General features: G+C 40.4%; 1 protein-coding gene across 4 annotated transcripts in view, besides 2 other annotated features; it reads left to right on the top strand.

Annotated features, from left to right (window-relative positions):
- The window catches only part of CDYL2 (chromodomain Y like 2), a 207131-nt gene that overhangs the window by 146088 nt on the left and 43350 nt on the right, over positions 1-17693 (top strand). The window lies entirely within an intron of this gene.
- Positions 1864-2003: an enhancer, noted in NCBI's record as "active region_11170". NCBI's record gives its function as "activates an Ori minimal core promoter by ATAC-STARR-seq in GM12878 lymphoblastoid cells {active_cell/tissue: GM12878}" and the evidence as "EXISTENCE:reporter gene assay evidence [ECO:0000049][PMID:35858748]".
- Positions 2154-2203: an enhancer, noted in NCBI's record as "active region_11169". NCBI's record gives its function as "activates an Ori minimal core promoter by ATAC-STARR-seq in GM12878 lymphoblastoid cells {active_cell/tissue: GM12878}" and the evidence as "EXISTENCE:reporter gene assay evidence [ECO:0000049][PMID:35858748]".

Below are 17693 nucleotides of genomic sequence, written 5' to 3'. Positions count from 1 at the left end.
GCCAGTGGGAGCCCCTTCAAGCTGCCTTATATGCCCTTTTGCAATGCCTGGCTATTCTTTTGATCACTTCCTATTTTTAGGTACAATAAGATTTTCTAGCCCAAAGTATACCTTACCTGCCCAAGCCCTGGAAGCAGCCATTTCTCTAGGAGCCCTTGTTTATTTTAGTGGGATTGTTATTTAGAAACCAACATGTGGGATCTACATAGCTCATTGCTATTTGGGTTTCATTTCTTCTAAGCCTTTTCAGCTGACAGAGCTAGGAAATATGTATAATTTTTAAAATCATGAATTCTTACCAATACCTATGATCCATTTTAACCTCACTGGATTCTTCCTTGCCTCTCTGCATCCCATATTTGTATGTCTTCTTCCACAGAGAGAATCCTATTTCTCCACAATATCATATATTTACTCATTTTCTCAATCCTGAACTACTCATAAAATAATCTTAGAATTGCTCCATTCTTACCACAGTGAAAAGCAAACCCACTAAGAAGAGTTCAAGATTTATCTGTTGTATATTCATAATATTATATCCAAAAGTTATTTGTATTTGTTCTTCCCCTCTCCCCTTTTGATGTGGTTATGTTATTCCTTTGAAAGACGATTAGGTTTATTTCTTTCTCTTTTCATTTAGTTTATTTCCACCCCCCATCTTTATTGCTTTTATTTTATATCTTAACATGTTTTAACATACTTCCAAAAATTAAAACAAAAAGATATCCTCAAAGAAGGGTCACCTCTTCCCCATCCCTTTTACTCAATTTTCCCTGCCAACCACTTGTGATAATCAATTTCATTGTTTTCTGGTTTATTCTTCTTGTGATTTTTTTTTTTTTGGAAAAAAAAGCAAATTTATGTTATTTTCCCATCTTTTTTTTTTACATTTAAAGGTAAAGTACTTTTCCACCTTTCTTCTCTTTATTGGAATGTATACTGTGTAAACCACTCCATATTCATAGAGATAGCTCTTTCTTTTTTAGAGCGACATAGTATTCTATTGTGTGGGTGCATCGTAGTTTATTTCACCAGTCTATGCTTGCACATTTAGGTAGTTTCCAGTATTTTGCAGTTATAGATAAAGCTACAATAATTTTATGCATATATATATTTGTACCATTGGAAGTACAGTTTTCCTGTTAAATTTCTAGAAGTGGGATTGCTGGGTTTCGTGAGAGTAAGTGCATAAACAGTGTTGTCAGATACTGCCAAATTTCTTCCCATCACACTTGTACCTTTCTGTATCTCCCCCACAATGAAGATAATGCCTGACTCCCCACATTCTCTGTTGCAGAGTATATTGTCAAGGTCTTGAATTTTTGCCAAGCATAAGATGCATGAGAAATGGTATTTCAGTGTAGTTTTAATTTTCTTTGTTATGAGTTTTAATGTGCACTATTCTTTTGGGTGGATTTGGAGCCATTTCTTCTATTTAAGGGCCATTTTTGTGTAATGCTGTGGATTGTTTGTTCTGTCTTTTGTTCATTTTTTCCTGAAGGAATTTTTGGTCTTCTTATCTTCAGTGTTTAAAAGTTCTTTACAATTGGGGATATTAGCCTTTTATCTGTGATACACAACTGTTTTTCCCAGTTTGTCATTTGCTGTTTAATTAGTTCTTTATGCTATTCACTGTCCTTGTTTCCTTTCTGTCTGCTTTTGTTTGAACATTTCTTGTTTATTTTAAATGAATGTTTTTCTTGCATCTGAGCATTTGAAATGTTCCTATTTTAAAGTCCTTGTCAAATTGTTTCATGATGTTAATTTAATTTTATTTGGAGTAATTCATGTTTTGAGTATTGATTTTGCTGGCTTGTTTTCTAAGCGTGAGCTGTCTACAAGTTTTGGTATTTTGGTGTGCAGGCTCATTTCAAGAGCAAAGTTTCTGTTTTGTTTTCGTTTCTCGTTCCTTCTCTCTCTCTCTGATAGTTTTGTGTTCGCCTCTACCTGGTCCTGAGATCCTAATAAAGCCTTAGCCGTGGATATCACATCCCTTGGTTACTGTTTTACTGCCTTCAGGGTGGACAGCTCACTTCATCCCCTGGCTTCCAGCTCTAAGCCTGGGCTCCCCCTCCCATCTTGCAGGGAAGACTTAGTCCTTGTTGCCTTTGAAGAACCCACATCTTCCCTCCCCTCTCCCACCCCACTGACTGCTTTGTGTCAGTGTTGTGCCTCTCATACGCAGAGATGATTATCTCGTTTGTGAGCCCGGCTTCATCTTATTGACTCTCTCCTTTTGTATTTTATCTGTCGCTTCTGTATGTTTGGAACAGGGGCACGGTGTCAGCACGTGAGTTTATGGAGCCTTCTTAATGGGAAATACTCCTTTGTACGCTAAAGGAGGGAATGTTGGAAGTCTTGAGGGGAACAGAAGGAAGGAAACTAGCATGATGGGGGCTTTCCTATTTTCCAGATATGTAGCATGCACCATTTCCTTTACTTCTCAGCTGCCCTCCCATTTCACACGCAGGACAGTGGGGGCACAGAACAGGCGAGCAAGTTGTCCAGCCCTGCAGCCCATGAGGGGGATGTGGGATCTGAATGCAGGCAGTGCCCCCGACTGGACGTCACCCTGGCTTTTGGGCTCAGCAGAGCAGTTAGTCCCCTCTGTGCCTGGAATGCCTAATCTTTGGCCTAGGCCTGGGTGTGGGGTTGGGAGTAGGAGAGGCATGATTAGGGACACTCACCAATTAGTTCCTCCTTTTTGAATGCCTTGGTGTCCTCCAGCTGACATTGGAGAAGTGCCTGGAGTGTGCTGGGCACTTTATTGACCCCAGGTCAGTTCTTTAATTGATTGAGTTCAAAACAGCCCGAAGAGTAGGTACTTTTAGCCCCTACCTTTTAAAATACTAAGTAAGATTGAATCTCATTTCTCATATTTTGTGGGAACAAGGAGACCAATGCTCAAGAGCTCGTGTGGCTTCCTTGCTTCTCCCATTAGCAAATGTAGGGCTGGGATTATTTCCATGTCCTCTGACTGCAGAGCCCTAAGCTTCCACAGTTCCAACATGTTCTGTTTCTCACAGCGTCTTCCCTGCCAGCTTGTTGCTGTCACTCGGGAAGCATGATGCTCCTGAAGGAGAGGGACCTCGAGGACTGCTCGGTGAGAGGGCAGAGTCTGAGGGGCTCTGGAGGCACCATTCCCCTGCGTCTCCTGGAGAGAAGGCCCGTTTCAGCCACCCGCATCCAGAATTGCACACATTTTGAATCCAGTACTCAAGGAGGCTCTGATCCCTGCTTGGCTCAGAGGTGTTGCATCTTTCTAAGTTTATCGGAGAGGCGAGCCCAGTGTCCTGGCAGAGGGTAGGAGGGTCTCTTTGCCTCTGCTAGTTTCATGGCTTATTTGGTAAGATGGCCTCAGGGCCCTCGTCTCTTCGGGTGCTTCTCCACCCTGTTGCGCTAATGGAAAGACCATGAGATTTGGGTTCACGAACACCTCCCCTCCCTGCATCACTCTTTATCACATCACCCTATTGTTTTCCAATCTGTAATTTTTTTAGGTATTAGTTACTTGTTAGCTTTTCATCTCCCCAACCCAAAGCAAGCTCCATGAGGGCACAGGCCCTATTTCTCTACTTTCTTTTGGATCCCCATCACCTGGTAGATACCTAGCCCATAGGAGGTGGCAAGTAACTAGATTTTGAATGAATGAATGAATAAAATGAGGAGATGGCTGGCTCCAATCCTGGCTCTTCCATTTACAATCTCTGTGACTTCCAGCAAGGTACTCACTTTTCCTTATCTGTAAAATGGACTAACTAGAATGGCAAATGTATAAGACTGTTCAATAATTGACACCCAGCCTTAGAGCTGCTCAGAAAAGGCCTGGCCTGGCCCCAGCAGGGATGGATGTCCCCAGGCTCTGGGCATCTGGTGACACCCTGCGCCCACCAAAAGCAGCTCCCATGAGGTGAAGCCTCCACGAACGGGACCGTGCCCTGGATCTGCCTGGGCCGCTGCAGAAACCACAGCCAGCTCTGTCTGATTAGGAAGGCCTTCTGAGTTGCTGAGGGTTTGAGATTAACCCTGAAGGAACAACTCCCTCTACACAAGCCTTGTAATTAGACACTCGTGTTTACTCTCCGAAGTTCACTGAATCATTTTACCTGGTGTCAGGAGCTGCATCTTGATGTTTGACAAAGCCTGATTGCTTTTGGTAAGGGAACAATACAAAACTGGGGCTTCACAGAAGCTGTGGGTGGCACAGGCCCATCTCCATGCCGGGCAGCTCTGATGTCTGAAGCGTTGCCTTGCATGTAGCAGGGTTTGGTGGAGCGTTTTCTGGTCCCTGCCTTAGGCCTGGTCCTTGAGATTCCAAGATTCCCAATGCCATTTATGAGCCTGAGCCCACCCGGAGGTGGACCCAGGGCCCTGTATGCAGAGGGGCAATTCCTGTAGGCTTCTAGGTGCCACGGGTGTTATGCAGCGCTGGGCTCTGAGTGTGCCAGTGGCCTTGCCTTCAGACATTATGTTATTAGAGAGACAGCAAATATTACCAGAATGGTGTTGTGCTAAGCTGGGCATGATGATTATAAAGCAAATAAGAGCCACCATTTATTCCTGGTTTACTGTGTGCTGCTTCTTTAAATGTTATCTTACTTGATCCTCATATCCTGCTCACCAAGGATCAGAACACGGAGCCTGTCCAGGCTGTGTACACACAGTAATCTTCCTTAGGAGGGGCATGGGACAGGTTGGCTTCCCGGGCTGGGCTTCTGGTTGGGTTCCGGAGTCTCAGTCTCTGTAGTGACTTTTTCCCAACCCAGCCCGGCAGAGCGCTGAGCACATGGTCAGTGCCTGTCTGCGTCTCCTTGCACCCTTCTTCCCCAAATCACCACGGCTGAGCAGAGTCATCGTGAGATGTGGCTCCATCCTGCACGGGGCAGTCACTCACTTCATTGGCAGAAATGGTGACAGTCCAGGAGATTTTCCAACTTCCGTTGGCATGCAAGCATGGGGCAGCCCCATGCATGAGGAAGATGGCTCACACTCGACACCACAGTGACTCCTGGGGTTTGAGGAATTCTTGGGTTGTCTGGATCCTGGCTCTCAAAGCCTGGACCCTGGAGCAGCCTGATTTTTCACAATCCTCCCATGATCCCTGTGTACACGCAAGTGTAAGAACCATGGGTTGAAGTTCTCAAGCTTGCCTGCATGTCTGAATCACCTGGGAAGCATTGTCATCATTTTTAATGAACTTAATTCCTAAAACATATTCTTTAAAATAATAGCTTAAAGAGTGTAACTAGATTGTTTGTAACTCAAAGAATACATGCTTGAGGAATTGGAGACCCCATTCTCCATGATGTGCTTATCTCACATTACATGCCTGTATCAGGACGTCTCATGTACCCTTAAATATGTACACCTATTATGTACTCACAAAAGTTAAAACAATAAAAAGAAGAAAAATAAGAAATTAAAATACTCTTTAAAATAAATTTCACTTTTTTGTTTTTTCGTTTGTTTGCTTTTTTGTTTTTTGAGACGGAGTTTCACTCTTGTTGCCCAGGCTGGAGTGCAATGGTGCGATCTCGGCTTACTGCAACCTCCACCTCCTGGGTTCAAGCGATTCTCCTGCCTCAGACTTCCAAGTAGCTGGGATTACAGGCATGCACCACCATGCCCGGCTAATTTTGTGTTTTTAGTAGAGATAGAATATCTCCATGTTGATCAGGTTGGTCTCAAACTCCTGACCTCAGGTGATCCGCCTGCCTTGGCCTCCCAAAGTGCCAGGATTACAGGCGTGAGCCATCGCGCCCAGCCAAATTTCACTTTTTAACCAGTTATAGGTTCACAGAAAAATTGGAACACGAAATACAGCAAGTTTCTATATAGCCCACACCTAGTTTCTCCTATGAACATCTTACATTAGTATGATTTTTTTTGTTGTTGAAACTGGTGAACCGGTATTCAAGTATTATTATGAACTGAAGTTCATACTTTATTTAGGTTTCACCTAGTGTCTGTTCCAGAGTCCCATTCAGGGAATATTCAGAGAATATTATGTTTAATCATGCCTCCTTAGCCCCTCTGGGCTGACAGTTTCTCAGGCTTTCCTTCTTTTTATGGTCGTAAAAAGAGTTTTGAGGAGAGCTGCTTGGTATTTTGTAGAATGTCCCTCAGTTGGGATTTGTTTGATGTTTTTCTCATGATTAGAGTGGTGTTGTGAGTTTTTGGGAGGAGGGACCCCAGAGGGTAAGTGCCATTCTCATCACATCCTATCAGGTCTATAGTTCATAAAGACTAAGAACGTGACCTGTCACTGTTGATGTTGACTGTGACCACCTGGCTGAGGTATGCGTGTCAGGTTTCTCCACTGTAGGGTTACTTCGCCTCCCCCTCTACACACTGTGCTCTTGGGATGGAAGTCACTGTGCGTGGTGCTCACTCAGGAATGGGAAGTTATACTCCATTGCTTTGAGGTTGCAATATTTACACAAACTATCGGGAATTCTTCTGCATGGAAGATTTGTCTCTTCTGCATTTATTTATTCAATCATTTATTTAAAGCAGTATGGACTCATGGATGGTAATTTTATATTTTCAGATTTAATCCAGTACTACTATATTTTGTTGCTCAAATTGTTCCATCTTTGGCCATTAACAGCTCTTTTAGGTGGCTCGTGTGTCCTTTTGACATACTCCCATCATTGCAGCAGATTTTTTTTGTTGTTGCTTTGCTTTGTTTGAGCACTTCCTTCTGTTCTGGCACTTATAAACTTACAGAGTCAGCCATTGCTCCAGAGTTTCCTAGGTCCTTTTATTGAGAATTGTGTTAGAAACTAGTATCTGTGCCCCAGGTATGTTCTTTGCTATTGGGATGTCATTGATTCTGGGCCCTCTCAGCTGAGAGAGCATGGCAATACACATGGGTATACTAACCTGTGTATATACCCTTATCTATAGATATTTCTGTATGCAGCCATCTTTATCTGCATCAAACTAAAAATGAGTTCATACTGGTGTTTGCAACTCTAACCCGTGGTCACATTCTAGCCTTCTCCTTTTGCTTATCTGTAAACTCCAACTCCCACAGTGAAAACCTAAGTCCCACCATCTGCAATCCATTTACTTAATCATTCAATTCCAGTATACAAGTATAACAGTATCAGAATTGTTAGCCCCTACCGCCATGGGAATCAACTTTTTCAACTGGAGTACAGTGCTGTGTAGAGTTTATTTTGCCTTTAGTTTCACAAACTCCGCTCATTTCTAAAGTTATTTATGTCGGCACCATATTTCCGTAACCCCTTCAGTAAGGTTGCTTTATACATATATAATTCAGATGGATTCTTTTGTCACATTCTGCATTCTACCCTGAGATCCTGTGCCCTCCTAAATGACATTTTTAAATTGGCATGCTTTTAAATTCGCTCTCTGTGCTGTAAATTTCTTTGGTATTTGACAAGCGCTTAATGTCTAGTATTCTCCATTGTAGTATCATGCAGAGTAGTTTTAACTGCCCTAAAAAGTCTCCTATGCCTCACCTATTTGACCTTCCCCTTATTCCACTGGAACCTCTAGCAACCACTGATCTTTTTACCTTTTTATACTTTTGCTTTTACTAGACTGTTTTATAGTTGGTATCATATATAGATTTTTCAGACTGGCTTCCCTAACTTAGTAATACGCATTTACTATTCATTCTTTTTTTGGTGGCTTGATAGCTAACTTTTTTAAAAAATTATTTTTAATTTTTGTGGTTACATAGTAGGTATATAAATGTATGGGTACATGGGATGTTTTGATACAGGGATGCAATGCATAATAATCACATCATAGAAAATGGGGTATCCACCCTCTCAAGCATTTATTCCTTGTGTTACAAACAATCCAGTTACACTCTTTTAGTTATTTTAAAGTGTAAATTAATTATTGACCAGAGTCACCCTGTTGTGCTGTCATATACTAGGTCTTATTCATTGTTTCTATTTTTTTGTACTCCTTAACCACTTCATCTCCCCCGCCCCCCGCCCTTCCCAGCCCCTGGTAACTGTCCTCTTCTGTATTTCTATGAGCTCAATTGTTTTGGTTTTTAGATCCCACAAATAAGTGAAATCAGGTAATGCCTGTCTTTTTGTGCCTGGCTTCTTTCACTCAGCAGAATGACCTCCAGTTCCATCTGTGTTGTTGCAGATGACAGGATTTCATTTTTTTATGGCTGAGTAGTACTCCATTGTGTATAAGTACCACATTTTCTTTATCCATTTGTCTGTTGTTGGATGCTTAGGTTGCTTCCAAATCTTGGCCATTATGAACAGTGCTACAACAAACATGAGAGTGCAGATATCTCTTCAATATACTGATTTCCTTTCTTTTGGGTGTATACCCAGCAGTGGGATTGCTGGATCACATGGTATTTCTATTTTTAGTTTTTTGAGGAACCATCCAACTGTTTTGCATAGTGGTTGTACTAATTTACATTCCCACCAACAGTGTGTGAGAGTTCCCTTTTCTCCACATCCTCTCCTGCATTTGTTACTGCCTGTCTTGTGGGTATAAGCCATTTTACATAAAATGCGGTGAGATGATATCTCATTGTAGTTTTGATTTGCATTTCTTTGATGATCAGTGATGTTGAGCACCTTTTCATATCCCTGTTTGCCATTTGTATGTCCTCTTTTGAGAAATATCTAAATCTTTTGCCAGTTTTTTAATTGGATTAGATTTTTTTCCAATAGAGTTGTTTGAGCTCCTTATATATGCTGGTTATTAATCCCTTGTCAGATGGATAGTTTGTACACGTTTTCTCCCATTCTGTGGCTTGTCTCTTCACTTTGTTGATTGTTTCCTTTGCTGTGTGGAAGCTTTTTAACTTACTGTGATCCCATTTGTCCATTTTTGCTTTGGTTGCCTGTGCTTGTAGGGTATTGCTCAGGAAATTTTTGCGTAGACCAATGTCCTGGAGATTTTCCCCAATGTTTTCTTGTAGTAGGTTCATAGTTTGAGGTCTCAGATTTAAGTCTTTTCAATTTTGATTTGATTTTTATATATGGCAGGAGATAGGATAGGGGCCTAGTTTCATTCTTCTGAATATGGATATTCAGTTTTTCTAGCACCATTTATTGAAGAAGCTATCTTTCCCCAGTGTATGTTCTTGACACCTTTGTCTAAAATGGGTTCACTGTAGGTGTGTGGATTTGTTTCTGGGTTCTCTATTCTGTTCTATTCATCTCTGTATCTGTTTTTATGCCAGTACCGTGCTGTTTTGGTTACTGTAGCTCTTTAGTGTAATTTGAAGTCAGGTAATGTGATTCCTGCAATTTTGTTCTTTTTGCTTAGGATAGCATTGGCTATTCTGGGTCTTTCACAGTTCCATATAAATTTTGTATTTTTCTATTTCTGTGAAGAATATTATTGGTATTTTGAGAGGGATTACATTGAATCTGTAGATTACTTTGGGTAGTATGGCCATTTTAACAATATTGATTCTTTAAATCCATGAATAGTTTTTGGCGTCCTCTTCAATTTCTTTCGTCAGTGTTTTATAGTTTTTATTGTAGAGATCTTTCACATCTTTGGTTAACTTAATTCCTAGGTATTTAATTTTATTTGTGGCTATTGTAAATGGGATAACTTTTTAATTTCTTTTTCAGATTGTTTACTGTTGGCATATAGAAATGCTATTGATTTTTGTGTGTTGGTCTTGTATCTTGCAACTTTACTGAATTTATTGGTTCTAATAGTTGTTTGGTGTGGAGTCCTTAGTTTTCCCAATATAACATCATATCATCTGCAAACAAGAATAATTTGCTTTCTTTCTTTCCACTTTGGAAGCCCTTTATTTCTTTCATTTGTCTAATTACTCTAGCTAGAACTTTCAGTACTATGTTGAATAATGGTAGTGAAAGTGGATATCCTTGTTGTGCTCTGGATCTTAGAGGAAAGGCTTTCAGTTTTTCCCCATTCAGCAGGATACTAGCTGTTCTGTTATATGTAGCTTTTGTTATGTTGAGGTATATTCCTTCTATACCAGTTTTTTAGGGTTTTATCATGAAGGGATGTTGAATTATATCAAATGTGTTCTCAGCACCAATTGAAATAATCATATGGTTTTTGTCCATCATTCTGTTGATATGATGTATTGCATTGACTGATTTGTGTATGTTGAACCATGCTTGTATCCCAGGGATAAATCCCACTTGGTCATGATTTTTTTGACATATTGTTGAATTCAGTTTGCTAGTATTTTGTTGAGGATTTTTGCATCAGTGCTCGTGAGAGATGCTGGCCAGTAGTTTTCTTTTTTTTTTTTATTTTTTTTCTTTCTGATTTTGGTATCAGAGTAATACTGGCCTTGTAGAATGAGTTTGGAAGTATTTCCTCCTTCTCTATTTTTTAGAATAGTTTGAGTAGGATTGGTATTAGTTCTTCAAATGTTTGGTAGAATTCAACAGTGAAGACATTGGGTCCCAGACTTTTCTTTACTGGGAGACTTTTTATTATGGCTGTGATATCGCTACTTGTTATTGATCTGTTCAGGTTTTGGATTTCTTCGTGGTTCAGTCTTAGTAGGTTGTATGTGTCTAGGAATTTGTCTGTGTCCTCTAGCTTTTCCACTTTATTGCATATAATTGCTCATAGTAGCCACTGATGATCCTTTGAATTTCTGCAGTATCAGTTAAAAGGTCTCCATTTTCATCTCTGTTATTAATTTGGGTCTTCTCTCTGTTTTTCTTAGTCTGGCTAAATGTTTGTCAATTTTGTTTAGCTTTTCAAAAAAACAACTTTTTGATTCATTCATCTTTTGTATTTTCTTCTTTTCAATTTTATCTATTTCCACTCTGATCTTTATTATTTTTTTCATCTACTAATTTTGGGTTTGGTTTGCTCTTGCTTTCTTGTTCTTTAAGATGCATTGTTAGGTTGTTTATTTGAAGTTTTTCTTCTTTTTTGGTATAGGCACTTAAAGCTATAAAATTCCCTCTTAATACTGCTTTAGCTGTATCCCATAGGTTTTGGTATATTTTGTTTCCACTATCATTTGTTTCAAGAATTTTTTCAATTTCCATCTTAATTCCTTCATTCAGTAGCATATTGTTTAATTTCCATGTATTTGTATAGTTTCTAAAATTCCTGTTATTGATTTCTACTTTTATTCTATTGTGGTTAGAGAAGAAGATGCTTGATATTTCCATTTATTAATGTTTTAAGACTTGTTTTGTGAATTAAAATGTAGCCTGTCCTAGAGAATGATCCATGTGCTACAGAAGAGAATGCTGCAGCCATTGGATTAAATGTTTTGTAAATATTAAGTCCATTTGGCCTATAGTGCAGATGAAGTCCAATATTTCTTTGTTGATTTTCTGTCTGGAAGATCTGTCCAATACTGAAAGTGGAGTCTTCAAGTCTACAGCTCTTATTTTCCTGGGGTCTGTCTCTTTAGCTCTAATAATATTTGCTTTATATATCTGGGTGATCCAGTGTTGGGTGCATATATATATTTAAAATTTTATATCTTCTTGCTGAAGATATAAAGATAGCTCTGTAATGTAATTTGAAGTCAGGTAATGTGATTCCTGCAGTTTTGTTCTTTTTGCTTAGGATAGCTTTGGCTATTCTGGGTCTTTCACAGTTCCATATAAATTTTGTTTTTTTCTATTTCTGTGAAGAATATTATTGGTATTTTGAGAGGGATTACATTGAATCTGTAGATTACTTTGGGTAGTTTGGCCATTTTAACAATATTGATTCCTTAAATCCATGAACATGGAATATCTTTCCAGTTTTTGGCATCCTCTTCAATTTCTTTCATCAGTATTTTATAGTTTTTATTGTAGAGATATTTCACTTCTTTGGTTAAGTTAATTCCTAGGTATTTAATTTTATTTGTGGCTATTGTAAATGGGATAACTTTTTAATTTCTTTTTCAGATTGTTTACTGTTGGCATATAGAAATGCTATTGATTTTTGTGTATTTATCATTATATAATGACCCTCTTTATCTTATAGTTTTTGTGATGAAGTATATTTTATCTGACATCAGTATAGCTACTGGTGCTCTTTTTTGGTATTCATTGGCAAGGAATATCTTTTTCCATCCTTTTTTTTTTTCAGTCTATTTGTCTTTAAAGGCGAAGTGTGTTTCTTACAGGCAGCAGATCATTGGGTCTTGTTTTTTTGTTTGTTTTGTTTTGTTTTGTTTTGTTTGTTTGTTTTGAGACAGAGTCTCACTCTGTCTCCAGGCTGGAGTGCAGTGGCGCAATCTTGGCTCACTGCAACCTCTGACTCCCTGGTTCAAGCAATTCTCCTGCCTCAGCCTCCTGAGTACCTGGGATTACAGGCACACGCCACTCTGCCCAGCTGATTTTTGTATTTGTAGTAGAGATAGGGTTTCACCATGTTAGCCAAGATGGTCTTGATCAGCTGACCTCGTGATCTGCCTTCCTTGGCCTCCCAAAGTGCTGGGATTACAGGTGTGAGCCACCACGCCCGACCTGGGTCTTGTTTTTTAATTCAGCCACTCTGTCTTTTGATTGAAGAGTTTAGTACATTCACATTCAATGTTATTATTTATAAGTAAAGACTTTCTCCTGCCATTTTGTTATTTGTTTTCTGGGAATTCTGTGCACTTCTTTTCCTTCTTTCTTTCATTCCTGTCTTCCTTTTAGTGAAGGTGATTTTTGTCTGGTTATGATTTAGTTTATTGTTTGTTAATTTTTTTGTATTCATTATATATTTTTTGGCTTGAGTGATATAGTTTGGCTCTCTGTCCCCATCCAAATCTCATCTTGAATTGTATTCCCATAATTCCCACATATTGTGGGAGGGACCCAGTGGAAGATAATTTTTTTGTTTTTTTTTAATTATACTTTAAGTTCTAGGGTACATGTACACAACGTGCAGGTTTGTTACATATGTATACATGCGCCATGTTGGTGTGCTGCACCCATTAACTCATCATTTACATTAGGTATATCTCCTAATGCCATCCCTCCCCCCTCCCCCCTCCCCCCACCCCATGACAGGCCCCGGTGTGTGATGTTCCCCTTCCTGTGTCCAAGTGTTCTCATTGTTCAATTCCCACCTATGAGTGAGAACATGCGGTGTTTGGTTTTCTGTCCTTGAGATAGTTTGCTGAGAATGATGGTTTCCAGCTTCATCCATGTCCCTACAAAGGACATGAACTCATCCTTTTTTATGGCTGCATAGTAGTCCATGGTGTATATGTGCCACATTTTCTTAATCCAGTCTATCATTGATGGACATTTGGGTTGGTTCCAAGTCTTTGCTATTGTGAATGGTGCCACAGTAAACATACGTGTGCATGTGTCTTTATAGCAGCATGATTTATAATCCTTTGGATATATACCCAGTAATGGGATTGCTGGGTCAAATGGTATTTTTAGTTCTGGATCCTTGAGGAATCGCCACACTGTCTTCCACAATGGTTGAACTAGTTTACAGTACCACCAACAGTGTAAAAGTGTTCCTATTTCTCCACATCCTCTCCAGCACCTGTTGTTTCCTGACTTTTTAATGATTGCCATTCTAACTGGCATGAGATGGTATCTCATTGTGGTTTTGATTTGCATTTCTCTGATGGCCAGTGATGATGAGCATTTTTTCATATGTCTTTTGGCTGCATAAATGTCTTCTTTTGAGAAGTGTGTGTTCATATCCTTCGCCCACTTGTTGATGGGGTTGTTTTTTCTTGTAAATTTGTTTGAGTTCTTTGTAGATTCTGGATATTAGCCCTTTGTCAGATGAGTAGATTGCAAAAATGTTCTCCCATTCTGTAGGTGGCCTGTTCACTCTGATGGTAGTTTCTTTTGCTGTGCAGAAGCTTCTTAGTTTAATTAGATCCCATTTGTCAATTTTGGCTTTTGTTGCCATTGCTTTTGGTGTTTTAGACATGAAGTCCCTGTCCATGCCTATGTCCTGAATGGTATTGCCTAGGTTTTCTTCTAGGGTTTTTATGGTTTTAGGTCTAACGTTTAAGTCTTTAATCCATCTTGAATTAATTTTTGTATAAGGTGTAAGGAAGGGATCCAGTTTCAGCTTTCTACATATGGCTAGCCAGTTTTCCCAGCACCATTTATTAAATGGGGAATCCTTTCCCCATTTCTTGTTTTTGTCAGGTTTGTCAAAGATCAGATGGTTGTAGATGTGTGGAATTATTTCTGAGGGCTCTGTTCTGTTCCATTGGTCTGTATCTCTGTTTTGGTACCAGTACCATGCTGTTTTGGTTACTATAGACTTGTAGTATAGTTTGAAGTCATAATTTGAATCATGGGGGCAGTTTCCCCCATACTGTTCTCATGGTAGTGAATAAGTATCACGAGATCTGATGGTTTTATCAGGGGTTTCCGCCTTTGCATCTTCCTCATTTTCTCTTGCCACTGCCATGTGAGATGTGCCTTTCGCATGCTGCCATGATTCTGAGGCCTCCACAGCTATGTGGAACTGTTAAGTCCAATTAAACCTCTTTTGTTCCCCAGTCTACCCAGTGTCTTTATCAGCAGCATGAAATTGGTACAAGTAGAGTGGGATGTTGCTGAAAAGGTACCCAAAAATGTGGAAGTGACTTTGGAACTGGGTAACAGGCAGAGATTGGAACAGTTTGGAAGGCTCAGAAGAAGACAGGAAAATGTGGGAAAGTTTGGAACTTCCTAGAGAGTTGTTGAATGTCTTTGACCAAAAGCCTGATAAGTGATATGGACAATAAGGTCCAGGCTTAGATGGTCTCAGATGGAGATGAGGAATTTGTTGGGAACTGGAGCAAAGGTGGCACTTGTTATGTTTTAGCAAAGCAACTGGTGGCATTTTGCCCCTGCCTTAGAGATTTGTGGAACTTTGAACTTGAGAGAGATGATTTAGTGTGTCTCGTGAAAGAAATTTCTAAGCAGCAAAGCATTCAAGAGGTGACTTGGGTGCTGTTAAAAGCATTCAGTTTTAAAAGGGAAACAGAGCATAAAAGTTTGGAAAATTTGTAGCCTGACAATGTGATAGACAAGAAAACCCATTTTTTTGTTTTAGGAGAAATTCAAGCCAACTTCAGACATTTGCATAAGTAATGAGGAGCTGAATGTTAATCCCCAAGACAGTGGGGAAGATGTCTGCGGGGTTTGCCAGAGGTCTTCACAGCAGACCCTCCCATCACAGGCCTGGAGGCCTAGGGGAAAATGGTTTTGTAGGCTGGGCCCGGGGTCCTGTTGCTGTGTGCAGCCTAGGGACTTGGTGCCCTGTGTCCCAGCTGCTCCAGCCATGGCTGAAAGGGGCCAACATACAGCTTGGGCCATGGCTTCAGAGGGTGCAAGCCCCAAGCTTTGGCATCTTCCATGTGGTGTTGAGCCTATGAGTGCCCAGAAGTCAAGAACTGGAGTTTAGAACCTCCACCTAGATTTCAGAAGATGTATGGAAATGCGTGGATACCCACGCAGGTTTGCTGCAGGGGCAGGGCTCTCTTGGAGAACCTCTGCTAAGGCGTGCAGAAGGGAAATATGGGCTCACCGCCCCCACACAGAGTCCCTGTGGAGGCACCGCCTAGTGGAGCTGTGAGAAAAGGGCCACCGTCCTCCAGACCCCAGAATGGTAAATCCACTGACAGCTTGTGCTGGGCACCTGGAAAAGTTGCAGACACTCAATGCCAACCCATGAAAGCAGCCAGGAGAGAGGCTGAACCCTGCAAAGCCACAGGGGTGGAGCTGCCCAAGACCACGGGCACTCACCTTTTGAATCAGCGTGACCTGGATGTGAGACCTGGAGTCAAAGGAGATCATTTTGGAGCTTTAAAATTTGACTGCCCTGCTGGATTTTGGAATTGCCTGGGCCCTGTAACCCCTTTGTTTTGGCCAATTTCTCCCATTTGGAATAGCTGTATTTACCCAATACCTGTACCCCCCTTGTGTCTGGGAAGTAACTAGCTTGCTTTTGATTTTACAGGCTTATAGGCAGAAGGGACTTACTTTGTCTCAGATGAGACTTTGCACTGTGGACTTTTGGGTTAATGCTGAAATGAGTTAAAACTTTGGGGGCCTGTTCAGAAGCCATGATTGCTTTTGAAATATGAGGACTTGAGATTTGGAGGGGCTGGGGGTGGAATAATATGGTTTGACTGTGTGTCCCCACTCAAATCTCATCTTGAATTGTACTCCCATAATTCCCATAATTGTGGGAGGGACCCAGTGGGAGATAATTTGAATCATGGGGGCAATTTTCCCTATACTGTTCTCATAGTAGTGAATAAGTCTCATGAGATCTGATGGTTTTATCAAGGGTTTCCACTTTTGCATCTTCCTTATTTCCTCTTGCCACTGCTATGTAAGAAGTGCCTTTCACCTCCCTCCATGATTCTGAGGCCTCCCCAGCCACGTGGAACTGTAAGTCCAATTAAACCTCTTTTTCTTCCCAGTCTACCCGATGTCTTTGTCAGCAGCGTGAAAACGGACTAATTCAATGAGGTTTGCAAATAATATCTTATATCTCATCATTTTAAGCTTATAACAACACTATTTGCATAAAGAAACAAACAATAACAAACTAATAAATATATAATTTTTTTTAGATGGAGTCTCGCTCCGTTAACCCAGGCTAGACTGCAGTGGCGAGATCTTGGCTCACTGCAACTTCCGCCTCCTGGTTCAAGCCATTCTCTCAACTCAGCCTCCCAAGTAGCTGGGATTACAGGGGCATGCCACCATGCCCAGCTAATTTTTGCATTTTTAGTAGAGATGGGGTTTCATCACTTTGGCCAGTCTGGTCACGAACTCCTGACCTCAAGTGAAGCACCCACCTCGGCCTCCCAAAGTGCTGGGATTACAGGCGTGAGCCACCACACCCGGCGACTAATAAATATTTTATACCTTAACTTCATCCCCCTGCTTTTCAACTTCTGTTTCTATTTATATCTTATTGTACTATGTCTTGAAGAGTTGTTGTAGTTATTATTTTTGACCTGCTCATTGTTTATCCTTTCTATTTAATAAGAGTAGTTTACATCCCACAGTTACAATGTTATAGTATTCCGTTTTTTTCTGTGAACTTGCTATTACCACTGGGTTTTATGCCTTCAGATGATTTCTTTCTTTTTTTTTTTATTTTTTTATTATTATACTTTAAGTTTTAGGGTACATGTGCACAATGTGCAGGTTTGTTACATATGTATACATGTGCCATGTTGGTGTGCTGCACCCGTTAACTCGTCATTTAGCGTTAGGTATATCTCCTAATGCTATCCCTCCCCCCTCCCCCCACCCCACAACAGTCCCCAGAGTGTGATGTTCCCCTTCCTGTGTCCATGTGTTCTCATTGTTCAATTACCTCCTATGAGTGAGAACACGCAGTGTTTGGTTTTTTGTCCTTGCGGTAGTTTGCTGAGAATGATGGTTTCCAGTTTCATGCATGTCCCTACGAAGGACATGAACTCTTCATTTTTTATGGCTGCTTAGTATTCCACGGTGTATATGTGCCACATTTTCTTAACATCCTTTTCTTTCTGATTGAAGTGCTTCCTTTAGGCATTTCTTGTGGGAGAGATCTGGTGTTGATAAAATTTCTCAGCTTTTGTTTGTATGGGAAAGTCTTTATTCCCCCTTCATGTTTGAAGGAGATTTTCACCAGATATACTATACTAGGGTAAAAGTTTTTTTGTTTTGTTTTGTTTTGTTTTTTGTTTTTCTCCTTTAGCACTTTAAATATGTCATGCCATTCTCTCCTGGCCTGTAAGGTTTCCACTGAAAAGTTTGCTG

Source organism: Homo sapiens, chromosome 16 (genome assembly GCF_000001405.40).
Source record: "Homo sapiens chromosome 16, GRCh38.p14 Primary Assembly".
Classification (NCBI taxonomy): domain Eukaryota; kingdom Metazoa; phylum Chordata; class Mammalia; order Primates; family Hominidae; genus Homo; species Homo sapiens.
The sequence above is the reverse complement of the archived record's forward strand: the minus strand, read 5'-3'. Positions and strand labels throughout refer to the sequence as shown.